At 43.9% G+C, this 24349-nt stretch overlaps 1 protein-coding gene across 16 annotated transcripts in view, besides 3 other annotated features; it reads left to right on the top strand.

The window, feature by feature from the left end:
* Positions 16937-17166: a silencer, noted in NCBI's record as "silent region_9263". NCBI's record gives its function as "represses an Ori minimal core promoter by ATAC-STARR-seq in GM12878 lymphoblastoid cells {active_cell/tissue: GM12878}" and the evidence as "EXISTENCE:reporter gene assay evidence [ECO:0000049][PMID:35858748]".
* Positions 17131-24349, top strand: part of EPB41L3 (erythrocyte membrane protein band 4.1 like 3) — a 238278-nt gene continuing 231059 nt past the window's right edge. For 15 of the 16 annotated variants that reach the window (NM_001384702.1, NM_001384706.1, NM_001384705.1 and 12 more), the window contains exon 1: positions 17131-17417. The gene's annotated coding sequence lies outside the window, so the exon portion shown is untranslated. Of the gene's footprint in view, positions 17418-18802; positions 18873-24349 lie in introns of those variants that run through there. The other variant, NM_001281535.2, reaches the window with a different exon arrangement.
* Positions 17603-18107: an enhancer, noted in NCBI's record as "H3K27ac-H3K4me1 hESC enhancer chr18:5629686-5630190 (GRCh37/hg19 assembly coordinates)". NCBI's record gives its function as "activates a minimal SCP1, AML or CMV promoter by ChIP-STARR-seq in primed H9 embryonic stem cells {active_cell/tissue: H9 hESC(primed)}" and the evidence as "EXISTENCE:reporter gene assay evidence [ECO:0000049][PMID:30033119]".
* Positions 22470-22971: an enhancer, noted in NCBI's record as "NANOG hESC enhancer chr18:5624822-5625323 (GRCh37/hg19 assembly coordinates)". NCBI's record gives its function as "activates a minimal SCP1, AML or CMV promoter by ChIP-STARR-seq in naive H9 embryonic stem cells {active_cell/tissue: H9 hESC(naive)}" and the evidence as "EXISTENCE:reporter gene assay evidence [ECO:0000049][PMID:30033119]".

Raw genomic sequence — 24349 nt, 5'->3', positions numbered from 1 at the left:
TTGTAGGTCCTTAAGAGGAATGAACTCTGCTTACAGTGACTAAAATGGAGTGCCATAGAGTAGGTGCCCAATTCATTATTGATATCATTCCATTGATGTCCATGGCACCCAGCTGGCAGCTTCTGGCCATCGTGCAAAACAGGATGGTAGTGGTTTAGGTTCGTCTAACTTCAAAGGAAAGTTAGGTAGTTAATGCATCCAATGTCACTTGGCCAGTTCTTGCAAAACTAAGGATTTCCAAAAGAATAATCTGACGTATAGCCCAAGAGAGAATAAAATATCTCACCAAGTCTTGGTGAGTTAATAATACTGTGGTATTTTATTTTCTTCCCATCTTCCTTGCCTCTCTTTAACCCTGTTTAGATGTCCCTGAAGCACCTAGCAAAGTGAAAGGTGACACTATGAACCCTGACCAACATCTAACAAACAATGTAATGTGAAAAAATCACTCTTTTCCTCTAATAAAAGTTTCAGCTGATCATTGCTCCGAATTATAACCTTTGTTGGGAAGCACAGGGAATCCTATTACTAAGGTGTGCTTTTCTTCCTTTATCCTGAGTGTCATTTTCACATCTTTAAATGTACTCTTATGTTATTAAAAAGTCCTGAAACATGTCTCATTTCTTTCTGTTCTCCCCTTCATGTTTTACACCTTTGTTAATGATCTGGGAGATGGAGAAAGTAGCACATAAGTGAAATTTTCCAGCACTGACAAATTAGATAGTTGCAAAGGCTTCAAAGAGAGGGAGGGAGGGAAGATGAGCAGGAAATAAAAAGTCACACTATTCTTAATAAGTAATGAGAAAATGTCTAGCCACTGCCATGAGTGACTCATCTGAAGTGTTAACACCCTAACTTAGACATGCGATAATAACTGGCAGGGAAGACGAAACTCATCTGCAAGGCCTGTCTTCCAAATTCCCTCTTCCACTTTCAATGGAAGGCAGTGGATGCTTTCACTGACCTCTTGGTGAAAGAATGTTACCAACCAAGACTGTGGTCTTGCATATGATTTTGGAAAGCAGAGTCTGGCCGGGAAGGAGCCACTCTCCTGGCCCCTGGAGAACAAGTTTTGGGATTATTCAAACAGTGGGACCCCTCCCCGTTTACCCCCCAGTCCACTCTCATGCTGAGCATTGCAGAGTCTGGCAGTATCCGCAGGCACCTGCAAAACAATGGGGGTGATCTTAGGGTAAAGGGCAAGTCGAGGGCCAGGGTGGGGAGCAAAGTTGCAGGTGTTTCCCTTTCCCTTAGATTTCTGGAGGTCTGTGGAGGTGAAGAGTGAACAAAGCATCATCATGATCACCATGTGTCTTTTTATTTCCTGTGCATCTTCCCTGCTATTGCTTATTAAGCAACTGGCATGTGCAGAAACTATTATGTCTACTTCTGGCCATCACAGGGCAAGACAGTATTAGAATGCTATTCTGCAGAAAAGAAAGTAGTTCAGAGAGATTAAGTAATTTGATTACTTAATCTAGATTCACACAGTCAGTCGGTGGAAGGCCTGACAGCCTGACTTCTAAGCACAGCCTTTTCCCTTCCCTCTGCTATTTCTTGCCTGCATTATTGAGTACCGACTAATTTGTATGTGCTCAGTGTAAATAAAGATCTACGCACCTTTGCCTGCCACCCACCACATGCTGGCCCAATTCCTCTAATTCCTAAACCCAGCACCTTTCCTTGAAGTTTTGTTGTTGTTGCTGCTGTTGTAGTTTAGTTCCTTCTGGATCTCTGTGGCTTCTCTCTGAAATCTCCAGCAGCAAGCCACTCTGACGGCATTTTTCTGAAATGCCAACACTGTTCCCCCTACCACATTCCCTGCAGAATGATTACCCAAAGGAGGGATGTTTTCTCCTTATTTTGATTGTATGTCAAACACGGGGCTCAAATACCCACAAAGTCCATTAACTAAACTTCAACACAATCAATGGTGGAAACAAGCTTAGTTTTATTTACAGTTTTATCTGCTATTTCTATACCACAATTTTTTAACTACGGCTGAAGACTCTAGTCTTGACAGAGGACTAACTTTGTGAGATGTAGGCGGTGGGAAAAAATAGACAATCTAACTCCAAGAAAAGTATCTTGAAGGGAAAAAACTTCCTTTTTCAAGCACCTTTGCCACCTACACTTCAAGTCAAGCAGAATGTTACCAAATATTGTTTCCTAAATATGTCCTTTGGATGCTTTGAAATAGTAATGTTTTTAAGAGTATAAAAAAACTAAAAAATGAGAATTTATTCTAGGACAGTGGTTTTCAAAATGTGGTCTTGGAAATGCTGGGCAGTGGCTGAGACCCTTTCAGGGAATCTGCGCAGTTAAAACTATTTTCACAATAAAATTAAGACATTATTGCCTTTTTTTACTCTTATTCTCTTATGAGTAGACTATGAAGTTTCCAGAGTCTACACGACATGTAATGATGTCATTGCTCTGGCAGCTTGTATTTAGATATTTTTCACTTTCTTACATTTATTCTCTAATGTGATAAATACTGATGCAATCCACGTAAGCAGAAGTTCTTTGGGGTCCCCAGTAAAATTTATGAGTGTGTCTTGGTTCATTTGGGCTGCTGTAAAAAAATACCATAGGCTGGATGCCTTATACACAACAAATATTTCTTCCTTTCAGTTCTGGAGGCTGGAAAGTCCAAGACTAAGGCACCGGCAGATTTGGCATCTGGTGAGGGCCTGTTTCTCATAGATGGCACCTTCTGTGTGTCCTCATATGGCAGAAGGGACAAAGAAACTCCCTTAGGCCCCTTTTATACGAGCATTAATCCCATTCATGAGGGCTTCTCTCCCATGACTTAATCACCTCCCAAAGTTCCCACCTACTAACAATATCAATTTGAGGGTTAGGATTTCAGCATGTGAATTTGAGGGGCACAAACATTCAGATTAGAGCAGAGTGTAAAAAGATCAGGAGAACAAAAAGTCTGAGAGCTGCTGCTGCAAACATACTTACTCATTTGAACTTAGCCCCTCATGAAATATTCAGGAAAAAGACAACATGTCACCAGGGTGGGGAGCGTGAATGTAACAAGAAAGAATGTAACCTGAGTTCCAGTATTCCTGTAGACTGCTCTGAGCACATCAGGCTGGGGTTCACACCTGGCCAGTTCTCTCTGCACAGAGTAGCAAACTGAAGGCAGGAAAACAAAACAGCAGTGGTCTATTCATGATTTGCACACTCATTCAGAGTTAACACTTAGAAAATATGAGGGGATTCACATGGGAATTCAAATGAAAATGGGTCTGCACACATGTTGGGTTTCCTGGTTCATTTGGCCATGCACAGGTACCCGGAGAGCCATCTGAGGCACGTTGCACGAATCTGCAGTGTCTGTCTGTGCTCTTTGAAGAGAGCACAAACAGAGAAAAAAGGCATGTATGCCTGGCACTGGCTCTTCTTTGCATCTGAATGAAAGACGTGGAGGCATGATGGCTTTACAGAGAGCCCACCTGTTCAATCTTGTTGAGGATGGCACTCCCAGAACAAGTAATTGAGCTCAGTCTCAAAGTTGTCTCATTGCCTGTCATGCAAATGCAGTCTGATTGGTTATTCTGAGTGCAATCAAACATAACAATACACTTTTGGTGGTTAATGTTTGCACCTGAAGTTGCAATTATCTGATAAAATAAGAAATAGCACTGAGGTCCACTGCTTCAGAACTCTGGGACGTGAAGAGAGGAAGAGAGTGTCCACTTCTAAAGGTCAAGTTCTGCAACAACTGTCTCCTGGTATTGATCAATGTCCTTAATACTAGCAGCTTTCTATAAAACTCTCTGCTCCTAAGTAATAGTGTAAAACTCAAAATCATTCTAAATAGTCATCCCAGACAATATCAGAAAGTACTTTATCTGGAATAAAATTTCCAGCATCCAGAATTACCAAGTACTTCTGGTTAGCCGCGTGTTCTCATCAGTCACTGCTGAAGGGAGAAGAGCATCCAAGGAGAAACAAAACAAAACAAAACAAAACAAAACACCTTAGCATAGTCCACGTTGCTGCTTAACTCAAAAAGTTTCAAGCAAGGATTGCACAACAATGTAAATGTACTTAATGCCACTAGGCTGTACATATAAAGTGGGTAAGATGGTAAATATCTATATTATGCCACAATAAAAAAGTAGGGGAGATTTCCCAAGCTGCAGTGAAGAAAAACTACTCCAACTCTGCTCTCAGCTGCCTAAATCAAGACAACGATCAGGATTAGGCAGGTAGAATGTGGCAAACTACATTTGATATGGCCTGATCTCAGCCAACAGGAATCCATACTCGGGCAATAAAATGGATATATACCTGTACTTCGAACAGAAGGTTATTTTAATCGCTATATCTGCAGGTGTTTTAAAAACAACCAAATAACAAATGACAGACTTTTGCACCCTGGACTGCCCTTGATTTACTGAGGAGCTAACCTAACCTAACGCTTTGTAAGAGTATTGCTTAGCTTCCATGTTTGACTGCAACATTTCGTGAGGCTTCGTGGACTGCTTGGACTCGTACTCAGACCTCAGTTTGCAGAGTCAGTATTTCAGCACTTGAGCCCTCGAGAAACAGGATCTAAGAATCAGAACTATGGTTGTTGGCTTTTTTTTTTCCAAAAAGTAAAAATTAGACTTTTCGAACAGCAAAATGTTCACAATACTTATTAAATGAAAATAATCAGGTTAGCACGCAGTACATACAGTAAGGTTTTATTTTTATATTTAAAAATATATACAAGAATAAGAGTGTCAAAAATTTCAAACAGCAAATTTGACAGTGGGTGGGATAATCTGGGGATGGGGAGGTGGGAAGCTGTGGAATAATATAAAGGCTTATTTTAAATAAAAACATGGAACTTAACAAATAGCAAATAAATTGGCTTTTAATATAAAATAGTTCTATACAGCTAAATTTAGCCTTTGAAGGATAAACCAGCCAACAACTAAGGACATTAATTATATTCCAATCTTCTAACCAAAATAGGTATGGGTTTGAGTCACTAAATTAAGGTGTAATTTTATATACAAAAGCCTTTTCAAAACTCAGTAAAGCAGGTAGCTAAGTCATGCCCTGTTCTGAGAGAAACTGCAAACTATTGTTATAAAGCAGAGGTTAATTTTCTTCAATGTTCACTGTGAAGCCTGCATACATATATATATACTTTTTTTGTGATGGGGTCTCACTATGTTGCCCAGGCTGGTCTCAAATTTCGGGGCTCAAGGGATCCCCTGCCTCAGCCTCTAAAAGTGCTGGGATTACAGGTGTGAGCCACCACGCCCAGCCCATATGTATACATTTCATAAAAAACAACAATAGTAACAACAATAAAAACAGAACAACTCTCCAGGATATGATATACCTATATTTTAGAAATACTCAATTATTTTGCCCAATTGTAAAGTAAATAATCACATATCCAAATCATGGCCATTAATATATTATTAGAGAAACCATTCCAACATAACAAGCTACCTTGACCTAAGTGTCATAATGGTTCATTCTAAATGTTGTGAACTAGAAAATGATAAATACGCTGTAATAAATGATGGACTAGTTACAGAAAATAATGACAGAGATGCTTTTAGCTTAAAAAGAGACATCGCAACCATAAACAGCCAAGGTTTGAGTAGAAACAAATGTTCTTTTCACTATTCTTTCTATTCGTGTAATGGATTTATTCACTTAAAGAAAAAAGAGACCAAAAACATAGATAGCTAATGTTAATTTAGGCATTTTTTTCTGATACCAGTCAAGAAGCTGGCAATTTCTCTATGGCAATGTTCCTAATAAATATATTTGTTCTCTATGGCAATGTTCCTAATAAATATATTTGGATGATGGCAAACATTATCTGAAAAAAGGAACAAAATGGCTCTTCTCTCTTTGTTAATTATCAGAGATTTTCCAGGTCCTTCTTCTATTTTTCTATCAAAAGAAGTGCCAAATTTGGGATACTGTGTGAGCCATCATTTTATGCCTGAACTGTGATGGGAAGGCAAAGAAAGTGTCAAAAACAAAATCCATTACAACTCTGAATTGATATTTTAAAAAGTACAAATCTGGCACTTTCGATGCTGTTTATCATATCTTTCTTGACTAAAAAATGTAATTCTTAACTAATTATGTTAACCAGGAGGATTTTATTATTTTATCTATTATAATTATATAATACATATTACTAATATGTATTACATATAACTAATATATAATACATATTACTAATATGTATTATATAATTTAAATCAAGGAATAATTATCCAAAATGAGGACAAAAAATCTATGACAAAAGTAGAATAAATCAATTCATTTTTTCAATAAAAAATATTTATTGATTGTAAGAATACCTTATAATAATAACTAACATTGTTTACCAGGTGCTCGAAATTTTCTTAAGTGCTTTACAAATAAGTGTTAGGTAGTCCTTGCATTGCTATAAACACCTGACACTGGGTAATTTATAAAGAAAAGCGGTTTAATTGGCTCAGGGTTCTACAGGCTTTACAGGAAGCACGGTGCTGACGTCTTCTCAGCGTCTAGGGAGGCCTCAGGACGCTATGATCACAGCGAAAAGTGAAGGGAGAGCAGGCAAAACGGGGGAGAGCAGGAGCAAGAGAGAGAGGGTTGGGAGGAAGGACCGGATCTTGTGAGAACTCACTATCAGGAAGACAGCATCAAGCAGTCTTGGGGATCCGCCCCCATGATCCAAACACCTCCCACCAGGCCCACCTCCAGCACTGCAGATTACAATTCAACAGGTGACTGAGACAAATATCCAAAGTATATTAACATACGAACTAAGCGAAACTTCGTAATTTTGTACTGTGGAAGGAGCCTGTCATTATCCCCACTTGACAGAAAAGGAAATCTAATGGTATGGGTACCACAGTGGTCCGTTTGGGCTGATAAGGAAGTTGACATACAGAGGTGCTGGTCACTTACCCCAGGTCAGAAAGACAGAGCTGGAACTAAACCCAGGAAGTCTCGCTCCAGAGCTGGTGTGATCGACCACAATGTGCCACCTTCTCTCCAGGTGAAGGTCGTCTACCTGCTGTAGACAAAGGGGAGAACAAATTCTCACTGTCTCTGTCTTCACAGATCTTGCGGTCATCTCAGGGAATGTCATGAATCGGCCACTACTGAGTGTCCAGAGCTGGGGGTGGGCGAATATACAGGTTATGTGGAATTTAACTGAAATTGAGAGGTGCAAGGGGAGAGCCAGCTCCCCCTGAGGAGGTGAGTCAGCAATTGGGCTTGAGGAATAAAACAGGCCTTAGCAAAATGAAGAGATGGGAAAGAGGAATCCAGGCAGATAAAACAGCCAGTGAGAAGGCCCGGGGTAGAAAAGAGCTCTTTGCAATCGTAGAACTCAGAGTAAGCCGCACTGGGGCCTGGTGAGGTGAGAGGAGATGAAGCTGCTAGGTAGGCAGGTGGCAATCCCTGCCTGGGCTCCATTGTGCATTTATGCATTGCATCTGCGGGGAATGGAAAGTCACTGAAATGTATCAAGTAAAAGAGGGACCTCTCTGGATGAAATGCGGAGGATAAGACAGAAGGCAGCAGGGGTGGGGAATAGTCAGGAGGCTACTGATAGTCCAGGCAAGAGAAAACAAAGGTTTGGAAACTGCAGGACAGAAGAGGTGGGCATATTCAAAACATAATCTGAAGACAGATCTGGCCAAACCTGATAAGTCTCCAGGTGACTCAGGGTCCTACAGGAATCTTTGCTATGTGCACATAAATACAGGTTTTAAAGTTGAAACACTGGGAGAAATGTCATTTTCTTATAGGTTTTAAATTCTAGATTAGCTTTTAAAAATAAGCATTGTCCCTTTTGTTGACCAATGATGTGGGAAATATGAGAACACTAACAAGTTTACTTAGAATCTGATGACTGAACAATTCTCTGGAGCAAATTCTTCCCTTTAAAGTGTCAGTGATACACTATTTACGGAGGAAACAACTCATAATTTAGTATCTTACAGTTCCAAAGAAACCCTTCATGTTTCTGGGATTCCTGTGTGATGCCTGCATGATACCTGTCTCAAATCCCTTTTCACAACATCGCGGGTCTGGCAAAATCTTGCATCAGCCTCTTCCACTGGGGACAATCCAACCCCCACAAACAACTACATCAAGCCAGGTAAGACAAGATCATAAAAGTGAGGGTTAGGTCAGAGATAGAGACTGACAAGATCTAGGAGCCACACAGTCGAGATTATAGGATACTATCACTACAGAAATCGGCTAGTCTTGCTTTGACCTGAAGTGACCCCAGCTGACTTCATAAGAGTATTATAAAGTTGCATTAAAAGGGTAATAATTCAACCCATGGATTATCCATTTTAGATCTATAGAATGACTGTTCCAGCAAAAAGCCCTTTGTCTGGCCCCTGTCTTGATGAGCTTTGCTTCTTCCCTTTCTTGCCTAAACATTAGTTAAAGGGAACTCAAGTCTCTGCTACCACAAAACCTCAGGGACCACCAGCAAGCGTAGAGTTCCTGAAATCAATCAAAGTGAAGGGTTAACACTGCATAATCAGCTACTGCTAGATGTCGGTGGGACCTGAATATATAGATACATGACTTTAAAGCCCCAGACAATACAAGGGGGCCAGAGAGTGCCAGGACCCAGCCAATTGTTTGCCCTAATACAAGATAGCTTTGTGCCTGCGGGGATTTATTTTCAGAAAAGACAGCCCTTTGGGTTAGCAGTGACCCAAATCCCAAGTACACCTAAATCCCAAGTACAGTAAAGGATATGATCATCACCCATCACCTAACAAAACTGGAGGAGGCTCACACCAGCACAATCCAAGGTAATTGGAGAAAGTGGTTGCCTCCTTTAGAAACTGGGCTTCTGATCCTAGTTTCTAGCTGAATGAAAGATATTCAATGATTTCTTTTAGGAAAAATTAAAATGAACTCAATCTCAGTAAATGAAATATCAGCTAAAATGCATGGATTTTCATGACCAAGAGCATGGCTGTCATTTTAAAAGATAAAAAGCATAACTCAGATTAACTTTCACTCCAGTTACCAGCATTGGCTTAAGGTGATACAGATGTCAACAGCTGCCAACTTACATGTATCAGTCTTAGGTTGTATTTTGAGCATTTCTTGCTTTGTAAAATTTGACAAAGAATTCACTTTTCAGATAATAAACTTCAGCTTACTGCTGAGGTTGCATGCGTTGCTCCAGATCAGAAAATAACCTCACTGGTTTCGGTCTCCTAGAGTGCTCTTTTCAGAGGCTGGCATGCATCAAGCAAAGAACAAGGAAACGACAAGTGCTAAATCTTTACAGTGACTTTACGATCTGCAGTTATGTGGAAGGCTTATTGATCAGTCACTGCTGTTTGATATTTTGCTGCAAAGGGCAGAGCTTACTCTGGAACTTTCTGGTATCAGCAACTTGGTTAAATTTTTATTTTAATTTAGGGACAATTTCAAAGAAACCATTCTGGGGCTAGTTCATGCCATGTCAAATGTAACATGTTCTGGAGTACAGAGAAATCACTGAGAGGTCAATTGTTTTAAAAAGTAGAGTAGGACTTCACTTAGGGAGAAAGCAGGATTGTAGCATCTAGAGAAGGAGAAGGAGGAGGAAGAGGTGGAAGAGGAGGAGAGGCTTCACATTTGAGAGCACTTTAAAACTTCTGTCATTGCTCACCATAGGTAGCCTCATGAGGAGGACGATTGTGAACTTCATAGTTTTCAAAGACCTTTCACCAAATTATTTTATTTAATCCTACCTATTCCATAAGATACTCATTGCCATTCCCAACTCACATAAGGGAATTGAGATTCAGAGAGATTAGGCTGAGATCACACAGCTAATAAAGGAACAGCATGAGCTAATAAAGGAACAGCATGAGGCAATAACTTAGGAGGCATTTCAAGAAGTCTTAGGTTTATTTGACTTTTTGCGTAACATTCACACTTTTCAGTGCCAGAGTAACAGCATCAGGAAGAAGAGATTTATGCTGCAAGGGTCAGTCTCCAGTTTGTGCACGGGTAGGCATTGGACACCAGCAATGAGCTTTGCCAGTCATTGTGTTAGCAGTGATGGCTCCTTTGAGTAAACATGGAAAGGTCTTCCTTGCAAAAGATCCTTAATGCACAAACCAGATAGCTATTTTTGCAGAATCCAAAATTCATTTTGAAAGCTACATACTAATGAGATAAATTTAAAAGAAATAACTCTCTTTCCAACCACCTCAACATTCCGTCAAGGATGTGCTGAAAACCTTTAAAAGTTAGAATACCTAAAATTTGTATCAGAGTTATATTTTTCATTCAATTCATTGAGCTCATTGAAATATCCCAAATGTATAGCTATATATTTGGAGAGATTTATAGAAAATAAAAATAACAACTTTTGCAATTGCAAATATAAGTATCTTATGTGTTGTCACTAAGCACCGTCATTAAATAATTGTAAGACTGGCCTCAGTGAAACTTGCTTTCTAAACAGTTTTCAAATGTGCACTCAGAGTCTTCCAAAGTATGCAGAATGAGGTACATTAAAAATGTGATGACTAATCGATGCTGAAAATTTGTCCAATGTGTATGAGTTTCCATTACATTTTATATAAATGTTTTCTGAGGACTTATGCCTTATAAAGGACCAAGTTGGACCTAGGTCTTTAATAATGAAAGAAGAGGCTTTATTTCCCTTGGTGAACTGAGTGGATGCCTTTAAAGAAAGAAGAAGGTACTAGATTTAAAATTTCCTGAACCCCTTTAATGAGTTCTTTCTGCTTCTGTTTTCATAGCAGAAAAATATGTCTAAAGCCTGTGAATAGAATAGATGATTTTAGAGACTGTGTTTGGAAATATTTCTAGGACTTTTGATTTTAATGCCTAATGGTACATAATTTGGTCTGACAAGTGGTTAATTGATGCCTGATAGCCCCTGTTTCCAGATTACGTACTCTAGTTCATAATCATCAAACACAATGAAGCTCAATGAGCTGAATGAAATGTGTTTTATTCTGTCTTTACATTTTTGATAGCCTTTTACTATACTCTGCCTTTAATGTGTGTGCAGAATTCCTTTCTGTGAAACCTTTCAGGTTAACACCATTTGGCCTCAGACTCTCAAGTCACATTGGCAACCACTTAGCATGGGTATATGTATAGTTACTCCTAAATACATTTCTGTATTTTTGTAATTTCATCCATTAATTTAACCAATATTTATTGAGGATCTCTTATATATCAGGCTCTGCAATAGGCACTGTGGAGTCAGCAGTAAACAAAACGGGCCAAACTCTCCCTTTTCACGGAGTTTATAATCAAGGCAGGAGGGCAGGGAGGCTGCAGACTATAACTGGATCAAGACAATATATAGTATGGTAGACTGTGATACATGCTACACAGAAAAGCCAAGCAGGTGAGGGAGAGAAGGTAAATCGGAAGGAGGGAGTGCAATGCTAAATATGGTGCCCAGACAAGACTTCACTGAAAAAGACATGTTTGAGCAAAGACTTAAACGTGGTGAGGAAGAGAGATATGAGGCTACATGGGGAAGAAAGTCCCAGGTAGAAGGAAGGGTAGGAAAGCCAGCGTGCTGAGGAGGGGACAGGTGGAGAGCAGTAGAAGACAAGGTGAAAGAGGCAGATCGTTAGGATCTGCCCATGTGGACGCCGTTGAGCAAGGAAGTGAAATGATGCGGCATATTTTGAAAGTACTATTCAGGCTACTGGACTGACAATTGTCTTTAGGAAAGTAAGGAAGGGGTGGTGCAGGGGATCAGTTAGGAGACGATTACAAAAGTCCAGACAAGGCCGGGCGCGGTGGCTCAAGCCTGTAATTCCAGCACTTTTGGAGGCTGAGGTGGGTGGATCACCTGAGGTCAGGAGTTCGAAACTATCCTGGCCAACACAGTGAAACCCTGTCTCTACTAAAAATACAAAAATTAGCTGGGTGCAGTGGTGGGTGCCTGTAATCCCAGCTACTAGGGAGGCTGTGGCAGAAGAATCTCTTGAACCCGGGAAGCAAAGGTTGCAATGAGCCGAGATTTCACCATTGCAGTCCAGCCCGAGCAACAGAGTGAGACCCTGTCTAAAAAAAAAAAAAAAAGTCCAGACAAGAGATGATGTTGGCCAGAGCCAGGGAAGTCATGGTGGAGATGGTAGAAAGGGTTGAATTCTGGGCCTATCTGAAGGGAGAGCAAACAGAATTTGCTATAGATTGGGTACAGGATGTGAGAGAAAGAATATTATGAAGGATAACTTCAGGATTTTGACCTGAACAACTGCAAGGACAGCAAAGTCATTTTACTGAGTGGGTGTGGTCAGAAGCTGAGGAGGCAGCAGCAGAACCAGGGACCAAGGAGACATGTCACAGAGGCTGTGGTGGAGCCAGAAGCCCAGGGGCAGGAGGATCAAAGGCGCAGCAATCGGAGCAAGAGTGAGGAGGCGGCTGATGTCGTCAGAGATTGTTATATAAGGCCAGATGGAGCAAATAAGTCAATATACTCAAGATAATGGGAGTCAGGTTTCTCTCTGTTTGTTGGAGAAGAGATTTACAAATATAGAAAGGAGAAAGGCTAAAAAGAATCCTGACGTGTTGGCTTGGAATGGAAGGTATTGATGTGAATCCACAATATAGTGATAGTTATAGAGATATAGAGGTACACATATATTTATAGATGGATACAGATACAGATATCCACACATATAGTAACAAACATACATGTGTATGTGTGGTTGTGTGTGACCCTGTATCATTTATTTCCTAACTGTGTCCACTGAAAGGGCCTAAAAGTCTGACACCCCAGCAGTAGTAGCCAACCAAGGGTCCAGATCGGGTTTTTAAATGCCATCTTCCACTGAGAGGAACCAGGCCTCTTTGGAGAGTGGGGCTGATTTCAGGGCAGGGGCAGGGAAGGTACAAAATGAGCCTGGAACATCTTGATGTGCCACAAAGTAAGCGGTTGCTCAAAACACAATGGGAACATGTCAGAGGGACCTAAGAGCCAGCTTGAGAAGACACCCACTTGCAAAATCTGGGACAATTTGGGTATCAAAATGAATAATGAAAGTAATGGAATGCAACCCATAGAATAGACTAGAAAACCATAAGCCTAGACTACAATAAGTAAATAAGTGCAGGGAAGGGCAAGATGTTCTTTATGGAAGGATGCCGACTAATAAATGCCAAAAACAAAAAAAAAACAAAGGTGCAAATGGAAAATTGCCATTTGGCAGCCATCACAATGGTGACTGATTTAGGCAGGCGCTATCAATGCCCGCCAATACTGGCTGTGTGAAGTTTCAATGTGGACAGAATATGGGTGTAACCTCAGAGCATATTCCAAAATACTTATTAATTACCAGTGGGAAAATGGTGACTTTATAATGGAGAATCCCAGTATCCACTAATCCAGATGTTAAAAGTTAACATCATAATGGTGGTTCTGTTAAACTGATACCACATGCCTTTTAATGTCATGCACTCTCAGTGGTAAAGTATCATTTCTTTGATGTTCTTGATAAGGATGTATGGCCTGGATCAGATATGAAGAAACAGTTGATGTACCCAAGTGGAGCAACAGCTTACAGAATGAAAGGTATATGTTTTTAAAGCCATGAAGGTCATGAAAGTTGGGGAACAAACTGAAAAATTGTAGCAGATTAAAGGAAAATAATAAGACATGTCAACTAAATGTAATATGTGATCCTACGCTGGATTCTGGACCATAAAGAAAAACAGACATTCAGGGGAAAGTTGGCAAAATTTGAATAGATTCTATGGATTTGTGGATGGTGTTATCTCAATGTTGTATTATGCTCATGTAAGATAGAATCCTGGTTTGGGGGAAATACACACACTGAAGTACTTAAGGGTGATGGAGCAGCATGTCTGTACCTGCTCTTAACTGATTCAGAAAAAAGAATATTAATCATGAGTATCTATCTACCTATCTAGATATATCTAGAGACATATCAAATATAAAATAATAAAAATTAGGAAAACTAGGAGAGACAGATATTGAATTTCTTCACACCACTTTCCCCTATTTTTTAAGTTTAAATTATTTCCAAATAATTGTCTTAAATGGACCTCATTAGTCATTTAGTCTAATCTTCTCCTTTTACAGAAAAGAAAACATTAAAGGACAAAACTAGGACTCCTCCACAAAGTTATGCACAAACAGTAACATATGAAGATACATGAGTTTTAGTTCTCAGGAAACTCAATGAGTATCAAGAGTGTGACTTGCCCATTCAAAAGCTACACTGACAGCAGCATGTTGAACTGACGTGTTTTGCTAGGAGGACTGGGCCGAAGCAGTGTGTTTATATTTTAAGGAGGTCAGAGGCAATTTGGAGGGTAAGAGATGAGGAAAGATTGTGAAAGCAGATCATGTGAGGAGAGACCAAAGGGACAGGTCATGTTTAGCCTCAACAAAAGAAGTCATGCAGAGCATCTGTGATTTGTTTTAAACAATTTGGAATGCTTTTTTGTGAAACACAGTTTACACATTTGGAGGACTACCATGAATAGAAACAGAACCAACTGGTAAAAAGGGTAGTGAGACACATTTTACCTTCAACTATGGAAAACGAAATTCCATAGTTTCATATTTGACTATGTTCCACTATGAAATAGAAGACTATTCAGGGGTAATGAGACTTTCTTTTTTATTTTATTTTATTTATTTTTTTTGGTAGAGGCTGGGTGGCGGGGTGGGTTGAGGTCTCACTTTCTTGCTCAGGCTGGTCTTGAACTCCTGGGCTCAAGTGATCTCCTACCTCAGCCTCCCAAAGTGCTGTGAGCCATGACACCTGGCCTGAAGGTAATGATTCTTATCACAGGTAATGCATAGGCAAGAGGGGCATTTGGTGGAAATAGTCTAGTGGCAACAAGTGTTGGAAGTGATAGGTGACCTTTAAGCCCCTTTTAAACACAGCTTATAATAGTAACTACTATTTATTGAATGCTTACTATACGCAGAGCACTGCAGATGCATTATCTCAGTCAGCCCTTACCACAGCTCGGACAGGTAGACACCCTTATCTTCTTTCCGCATATAAAGAAAATGTTTACATAAAGTGTCCCACATGCAAATTCAGCAAAACACACACAGAGGTGTTGGAGAAGCTGTTCCAGGTCTCAGTTTCCACACTGACTTCCTTCACATTCTCTTTTGTCTTCTTCAGAATCTTCAGCCACAGGGGCTCCAGTGTCCACTGATTTCTCCCACTGTCAACAGACTCTCCCATTTTCTCTTCCAATCCTTTCTCATTCCTCCCTCTTTCCTACATCATACTTTCTCATTCACACCAGTCTTCAAGCTCTGTCTCTAATATGAAGGAACATTGTTTTCCTGAGGAAGAACTTTTCATCACTTCTATGCTTGGCACAGCACTCCCAGAAAGAAATCCATCTTGTCTAGTTGTGCCTCACCTGGCTACCAACGTAACAGACACATATCTAGTTTAATAGTCACTGCTACCCCCATTACCCACCCTTCTGCCCCTATTTTTTTTTATCAGCTATTCCTCCAGTTATTGAATCAATCTGGACTTAAACTTGAGCAAGCCACACCTTCATTCTACTCATTGTTTTACCTAATTCAGTTCAAGGTGCGATTCATAAGCAAACATTTAGCCTGGGGTATTGAAATATATGACTGTGAATGCTTTGCCACTAGACTGCTGTCTTCAGGAGTTTCAAGAGGAAAGGCGAGGACTAGCTTGCCTCTTTTGAGAGTGGCCAGAGTAAGCACTTGGCTGCAGGGAAAAAAGTTTGCTTTTAATTTCCAAAGTGGACCCAAGATGATAGGGTCTCATGGAACAAAATCTTTGCTTTGATGCAAGGAACCAGTGGTATATAGCGGTCTTCCAAGTTACTTAGCAACAGTTGACAAGGTGTGGCTTCTTGACTGGTGCCAACTGTTTCCAATATGCCCTTGTATAAAGCCACCTCTGACATCCTATAGAAAGTCTCTTTCCTCTGCCTCAGCCTGCTGAGGATTGCACAAAACACAGGTAGATGTGAGCTGCATGTGCACACTCCAGTCTCACTTAACAGTGCAACACCTGCACTCTCAAAACATAGACATTTCCCTAATGGGCTATAAAATGTGCTATTTGGGCAGTTAATTTTGAAATGTTATTAAACTAATAGGCACTTGGCAATGTACCTCTTTCACATAGATACACCCAAGAGTCAGACGTTTCTGGTTGATTGGATGGCTTTCCAGACTTGTGATTGTCATATTTTATAGCTTTTCCTCCTCCAGAAGGCTTTACCAAATCAGTTTTCCAGAAAGCACACCTCTAGGAGCTACTAGGAGGCAGAGTGAGTGAAGAGTGGCCTGAGTGCCCAGGGACAGACTGTGCAGTGAACTCTTGTCCAGGTCTTTGGGGCAGAAGTGGAAGGGAAAAGAAAGATAATGTTCCTTTTGTTTACTTAGAAGGTCCAAGAGTTGTAGAAAGCACAGATCTCGTTTGTGTGTGCACGGGCATACATTCTGATGGCCTGGACTCACAGGCCACAGAATCAAGCAAACACGCATGTGACACGCTGAGCCTTCAGGCCTGGAAATCCCGTGGGCACCAGTGGGGATGGCTTTGCAGGCCCTGGAACGCCAGGGTCCTCCGCTGCAGGGGTGCAGGCTGGGTGAGAAAACGGTGCAAGCTGCGTCTACACACTGCTCTTCATATTTTGGCGCTTCATGTGAAGTTGGAAGATGCTTAAATGAAACAGCCTCCAAGCCACTTTCTGGCCTACATCCCTAGACTGCCGCTGTGAAGTTAACTCTTTTCAGAGATTGCAAAAATTTAATACCAGCAAAAGAAACCAAGTTACCAGGTCCCCTTAAGGCACACGAAGGGACATTTATCATAGCCTCTCCCTTCCCTCCACTCCCTATCTACACAAAATTGTGTGCGTGTGTGTGTGTGTGTGTGTGTGTGTGTGTAATTCTATCCCTGCTTGCAGAGCCCGCTGGCTATAAAGCCCAGGGAGGAGGCCTGTAAGGAGACCCATACTTTGCGAGCGCGCGGCTGGGAGGCGGGCTCAGGGCGGGGCAGAGCGCGGGGACCGCCCGGGCACCGGGCGCAGCCAACGAGCGGACGGGGAGGGCGGGCCCGCGAGGGCTGAGCGGCGCGGGCTGTCACAGGCGCCCGAAGCGCGCTGCAGGTGGCAACTTGGAGGTGCCGCCACCGCAGCTGCGGGAGGAGCCCGGGTCTGGCGGCCCCTTCCAGCCTCCAGGAGCTCTTTCCCGCCGCCGAGCCCGAGACTGGACCCCGGAGAATTCGAAGGAAAGAGCCCCTGCGGAGGGACCTGTGAGCAGCCCTACCTCTCTCTGCCCTTGCGCTACTTTTTTTCTCCAAGGAAGGTTGTGCCTGCGGGCTGCGAACAAGCTCCGGGAGGGGCCCCAAAGGAAGGCTTCGGTGACTCAGGTGAGCGCCTTTCTCTTCTTGGCAGCCGGGCGTAGGCCGGGAGCGCCGCCTAGCCCCGTGGGCAGGGGCGCGGGTGCGGGCCGCCTGCCCTTGGCTCGAGGTCGATGGGGGAGAAAGCGAGGAAGGGGCGAGGCTGGCCCGACCGGGGGCTGCCTGGCCGGGTCCGCCCGGAGGCGACAGGGACTCTCAGACGGGCACCTGGAGACTAGGGACGAGCAGAGAGGTGCTTTGAGGGGGACAGAGGGCTTGCGCCCGGTTTAAGCTGACCGGGATCGACCGCCTGCGCGCTGTGTTGGAGCTGCCGCGGAAGCCGGGCGCGGCGCCTCTGCGAACCCCAGAGCTAGTGCGCGGGGCCCGGCGAGCGCACCAGTCTTCGGTTCCTCGGAGCCCAAGGCCCTGGAGGACGTCATCCCTCTCCGCTCGGGCAACTCCTCCTCCGCCCCCTCTTGCCTCCACCCCTCCGCGCCGGCCGTTTAGCCTATTCCGAGACTCTGTGCTTTTGCCAGCGCGCGCTAGTTGCTGCTGTCACTCCCCTCCCCGCCCTCGCCGGAGTTGGAGCGACCTGGGGTCTGGCTCCCCGGTCCCGGCAGCCTAGTTGTGGGCTGGACGCGAGTGGGGCTGGCCAGTTCTTTGCGAGGAGGGCAGGAGTGAGCGCGGGCTCTCTCTCTAGTGCTCCCTCCGAATCCGTCCCCGCCCCCCTGCAGCTCGAACCGCTAGCCCAGAGAGCGGAGTCTCAGAAGCTAGACCTTGCTCGCCCTGGGGAAACGCGGGGGAGGGGGGGGCCTTCCGGGAAGGTGCGAACCTCGCAGATGAGGCCAGAGCCTCCGCCTCCATCTCAGCGTTTCAGCCCCTGCTTTCCTGCTTTCAAGTGGACAGTGGCTCTGACCTCCGCATTCCGGCTTGTGGCGTGGGGGGCGCTAGCGGCAGTGTGTGTGTGTGTGTGTGTGTGTGTGTGTGTGTGGTGTGTAAGGATGAGCGAGTGCGATCCTCCGGGAGGCAGAGGCGCAGGAGCCAGTTCCCCCAGCCCGGCGGAGCCGCAGGGACCGCCTCCCCTCGCCGCCAGCTGCGCGCAGCTGCACCCCGGCAACTCCGCGCTGCCGGCTCCTCTCCTCCAGCTCCAGCTCCCGGTACCCCCACGACCAACGCGGAATCCCAGGATTAAAATCATCTGGCCAAAGGGTGCGGGTGGGGGATCGAGGCGTTCCCGAGGCGAATGAGGCTGTTTTTCAAAATCCGGGAGGCGCCCCTCGCCCGGCGTTGCATCTTCCCGTGGCTCGGCTGTAAGGACCTGCGGTGGAGGCTTGGCGGAGGCGGGCCCGCGCTCCAGAGAGAGCGTCACGTCACCCGAGAAGGCGACGCTGGGGGCTGCTGAGCCTCCCAACTCCCTTTGGCGCGTCCTGCTCAGAAGCCGGGGAGCTCCTGGCCGGCGGCTGGCGGGGAAGCGCGGCGCGGGAGGTGGGGTGGCCTGGCTGGTGCTGCGGGAGGGCGCCCCGGGCGCGTCAGGGGCTGCGTGCCGCGGCTGGAGGGCGCGCCGGGAGCTGCGGCGGGCTCGGGGCACCCGAGTGGCGCTGGAAGTTGAGCCGGGGTCCGCAGGGCTCGGTGACCGCCCTGGCGCCGCCGCTGCGGATTCGGGAGCAGCAACCACGCGGCGCGTTCGGCCGCCCCCTCGGCCCGCCGGCCGCGTCTTTCGCTTTCCCTCTGCAGAAGTGAAGCCGCCGCCTGGGCTCGCTCGGGCTGGCGACCTTTGCGCCAGAAAAGCCTGAGGTGCTGGAGGCGAAATCCTCCCGGGAGCGAAGGGCGGCGTCCACAAGACAAGGAAAGGGAAGACGCCGGGCTCTGGCGGGTAGCGCAGTAGCGGGAGGGCGGCGCTGAGCGCCAAGGATCCCGGAGGCGAGGCGAGGCCAGGCGGACCCAACCCAGCCAGGAGGTGCTGCCCCCGCCCTTGGGGCTCTCTCACAGGCACCTGGTGTTAGTTACAGACCCCCGCCCCCGCCAGTCCGCAACTCCCTCGTAATTCCCTCTGAAGTGCGATGGATTAAGACTGGGCCGCGAGAGGGCTGGAAGCCACTAAATGAATGAAAGTAGAAACGATGGTAAATCCCAAATCTAACTGTGGTTTAAATCTAAATTCCACGTGATTAGAAACAGATTCTAACCCGGTAGAGCAGGGTCTATGTGGGATCTCCTATATCGCATTCAAATAATGGCAGTTACCGACGGGCCCCGCAAGACTTGCCCCTCCCAGGCTGTAATTGTGCTGCTTTGCGGCGTAGGAGCGGGGTGGGCTCCAGTGTGCCCATATCGTTACACATAATCTAGAACAAGGAAAGAGTCAAGTTCAGGTCGGTTCTTAAATGACCTTGGGAGTCTCCGTCTTCACTTTCCCTTACTGGCCATAGGCAGTTCCCAGTTGGATCAATTACAGTTCAGACTTAGTGACACCAAGGGGTCAAAGAGCCTCTCTTGTTAACTATTAACATTAGTTAATAGTCTTCTTAGAATGTGTAGTACCTTAGGAAAACGTTCTCAGTACTGAGGAGCAGAGGTATAAAACCGAGTTTGCAGCTAGGCTATGACCTCTCAATCCCAATAATGGAAATACAGCTCTTAGTGGAATGTTAAGTTATTGAGGGCAGGGCTCTTTCTCATTCTTTTATTCCCAGAGTCTGGCATTTAGTAGGTGTTCAACAAATGTTTGTGTAGACCAGGGCTTATAATTAAAGACACTGCACTGAAAATACATTTAATAATTTTTAGGTCAATCATTATTAAAATCAGAATATTAAACTATATATCCCAAAGAGTTTAAAAATAGAATTAAACCATGCACACTGGTCCTCATGAGTTGTGTTTTTAAACTCTTTGGGATTGGTGAAATCACTTCAAATAAGAAGGCACTTAAGATATTGGAAATTTAGAAGTTACAGAGTGGTAGAGTTGCATGGTTAAAGTCCCTTTATAACAGTCTCTGGTTGAATACCTAGAGAAACTGGGATCTCACTACTTTCAGAAGTGTTTGATTCCATTTTAGAGAAATTTTGTATTTAAATGTTAGGAACACGGGGATGAACATGCCATGGTTCACATCTGCCCATATGAAGCTCACATCCTAGTTGGTAGGCCAAAAAGGAAGGAAGCGTTATGATTTTGAGGCTATTGTGTAGATACATGAGAAAGTTAAGGGATCTCAGCAAAGTGACCTCGCACTTTGAACAGCAACAGCAAGGGAACTTCACAGAGGATGGGTCCTGTGGTCTGAATTTGAAGAAAAGTTCTCCTGGAGCACTGCGTAAACAGACTAATGAGAAGTCCGCGGAAGGTCAGCCTGCATAGCTTTCCCTTCCTTCCAGTTCCACCTTCTGAGCTATAACACCCTGCCTTCTCTCTCTTCTACACACCCACCATTTTTCTACTTAAGAGCAGTTTCCATCTCTCTCTGTTTCTTCTTTTCTCCAGGCCAAAGAGCCACAGATTCTTCATGCTACCTCCAATCCCAAATTACCTATTCTCACAATACACTGAACATTGGCATGCTTTCCTCTTGAGGAATTAGGGAGGGAGAAGCAAAAACTCAAGCAGGGCAAGATTTTTGTAGGATTTTAAGTGAGGGAAGTTGGCTGTGAATGGTTTATTAAAAAGATCCAGGAAGTGAGATAAGTCACAGTCCACTCTGGGCAACTACTTCCTTATCTGTAAGGAGAATAGTAATTTTCACCTACCACACTGTGAGAATTAATTTGTGACTTCAGAGTTATCTGAGTTACTTGGAAGCAAAGTGTGAGACCTAGCACATGGGAACATAGAATTTTCCAGTGCAGAGCTGGTTAATCAAGAATAGCAAGAAGCACAATTAGTAAGGAAATATGACTTTCATTGGAGAACTGCTAAAGAGGCTAGAGATTTTAAAAGGTATTGAAACCCGCTATTTATATTAAAGATTAAAAAATAAATATGGCTATTAGAAAATGTGTATGATTGGTCATTTTGTCAGGGAGTAGAGAAAACTGGAATGTAATACTCAAAGTAGCCACCAGATCACTGAAGAGATGAAAATAATTTGTTTTGTTTTCATGCAGTTCAGTAGTATGTGAGGTTTTTATTTGGGAGGATTTGGTGTCACGATGATGTCTTGTGAAAAAGCAGGGCTGATTGATGTCTAGTGTGCATTCTGAAGTGCTAAGGGTCTCCTAGCCCAAAACTAATGCAAGCACCAATGTTCCAGTGGGACTGTGGGAAGAATGCCAGATGTGGGAGCTAAAAGGACACTGTCTTGGAATCCTAAATAATGAGAGAGTGAGCAGCAAGTTGAAAGCAGCGACGAGACAGGGGAAGGGCACTGAATATAATTGGGGCTGATTGGGTGCGATTTCAGTCAAGCAGCATAAATGAAGATCAGAATGGAGAAAAGACATGAATGGACAAAAAAAAAAAAGCATGGTAGAACTTACATTGGGGACTTTGAAATAAAAAGAGAGAGAAAGCTACCATTTCTTTGTGTGGTGGGAAAACAAGGGTGAATAAGAACTTGGACACCTCCCTTCTGAAGTCAGCTCATTGTATAAGATCTCTGAGCCACCAAATCCTCATCAGTGAAATGGGGATAGGAATGCTTTATGGTGAGAAGTCAACAGAAGAACATATCAAACACCTAGAATATGACCTGGCTTTTAGGTGAGCTGCTCTGGCAACAAGCTACTGGTTTTCTAGAACCAAGAGTGTTGGTTGGCTGGATGCATTATTGCCACATCTTTATTTTAACTCTTAGCCTTCATTAGAAATCTAGTCTCACATTTGAAACTGGCAAGGGGATACTTTACCCAGTTATTCCCCAGTCATCTCAAACTGAATATGTTTAAAAATTTCATTCATCAATTTCATACTTTCCTCCCTTACCGTAGGACCACCATGTCCTGAGTCACCTGTGTGGGAGACCTGGTCTTCATTTTTTTACACCTTTCTCTTCTCACGTTGCTCCCTGACAGACACACACCACGGAAACGTCAGGGTCCCCGTGGTGTGGTGGTAACTCCCACTGCCACTTCCTTTCTATCAGATCCCCACCAGTCCTGGCTCTGGCTCTTGCTACCTCCTGCTTGGATTGTTATGGTAATTATCCCAGCTCACTCTCATTCTGCCTTCCTAACTTCTGCTTCCAGTTCAGTTCTTTTACAGTGCTCCTTTGGTTGTATCACTCCCTGCTGCAAACCTCAAGCCACTTCTGTTTCCTAAAGTATGAGTGAAAACTCCTTTTGATTTGTATTCAAAGCCCTGTGTTTGCTCTCCTGTATCTAAGTGTTCAGATCTCCCGAGGCCCCAACAGGAAACCCATGGCAACTCTCCCCAGTTCCTATGCATGCCTTTAGGTTTGATTTCTCTGTCTTTCGCTCACCCTATTTCTTTCAACTGAAATGCCCTTCCTCCCCTTTCTTCACCTTGAAATCCTGCACTCAAACACCACCTCCCTTGTGATGTTTTTCTCGATAATTCTCAGAAGAGATCTCTCTCTCTCATCTTTCCTTCTGTAGCTCTTTGCTCCTTCTGCTCTCGTGGCACTTCTCATGTATTTATTCTTTGGTGTGTTTTACTGATTGAGAGCTGTGACTTCATCCTATTCACCTTTGTATTCCCCAGTAAGTTTTGTCCGGAGTGGGGGCTCCACGGTAACTTGTCACTGAGAGGATGACTGTCTAGAGACATCTGAGGAGAGTTTATGACAGAAGAAGAGAAGAATGTTGTTCCAATCCCATGTCAAGTCAGTATGAGGAAGAAGTAGCCAGGCCTTGATGAGGTCTTTCAAGACAAAGTGGAAAAACAGGCAATTATCTGGAAACTTCAAAAACCACCCTCTACCCACATTGGCCTAATTTCATGAATAATTTATGCCTTGGTAGCTGGAAGAATCTGTAAAATTGGCATTCTTCATTATAGTGATGAGATTATAGTCATGTGAGCTAGACAGAGATTTCAAAAGTAGAATAGAATGTGGAGAGTCTAGCTGATAGTGATTGGGCTGAAGGAAAAATGAGATATGCTGGGCAAGATGCCCATAAAGTACTGAATGCATTCCTAAATACATGAGCGAGGCCAGACACCGTGGCTCACACCTGTAATCCCAACAATTTCAGAGGCTGAGGTGGGATGATCATTTGAGGCCAAAGACCAGCCTGGGCAACAAATTGAGATGTTGTCTCCACAAAAAATTAAAAATTAGCCAGGCATGTTGGCACAGGGCTGTAGTCCTAGCTTCTTGAGAGGCTGAGGCAGGAGGAACAGTTGAACCCAGGAGCTGAAGGCTGCAGTGAGCTATGATTGTGTGCCACTGCACTCCAGCCTGGGTGACAGAGCAAGACCCTTTCTTAAAAAAAAAGTTTATTCATACTTTTAGAAGATTCAATTTCTTATGGTCTCATACATTTTTTTTTATTAAAAATGAAAACATTGCCTATAATCCCAGCGCTTTGGGAGGCTGAGATGGGTGAATCACTAGAGGCCAGGAGTTAGAGGCAAGCCTGGCCAACATGGTGAAACCCTGACTCCCCGACTCTACTAAAAAATAAAAAAATTAGCCTGGTGTGGTGGCTCATGCCTGTGATCCCAGTTACTTGGGAGGCTGAGGCATGAGAATCACTTGAACTTGGGAGGCAGAGGTTGCAGTGAGCCAAGATTGCACCACTGCAGTCCAGCCTGGGTGGCAGAGTAAGACCGTCTTAAAAAAAAAAAAGAATGAAAAGATAAAGCCATGTCATTCCTCATGTGTATACTATATATTTGGGGTCAGGTGAAGAAATAAATTATTATAAGAAGATGACCAGCTTCCATATTTCAGGAATGAAAATGCTTCCAGACTATTGAATATACAATAGCCTTCAAATTGAGAGGATAAATTCACCCTCCTCAAATAGTTGTAAATAGTCCATTGCTCACTAGGAATG

The sequence above is a fragment of the Homo sapiens genome, chromosome 18 (assembly GCF_000001405.40).
Source record: "Homo sapiens chromosome 18, GRCh38.p14 Primary Assembly".
Taxonomy (NCBI): Eukaryota; Metazoa; Chordata; class Mammalia; order Primates; family Hominidae; genus Homo; species Homo sapiens.
Note: the sequence above shows the minus strand (reverse complement) of the source record. Positions and strands in the feature narration are given on the sequence as shown.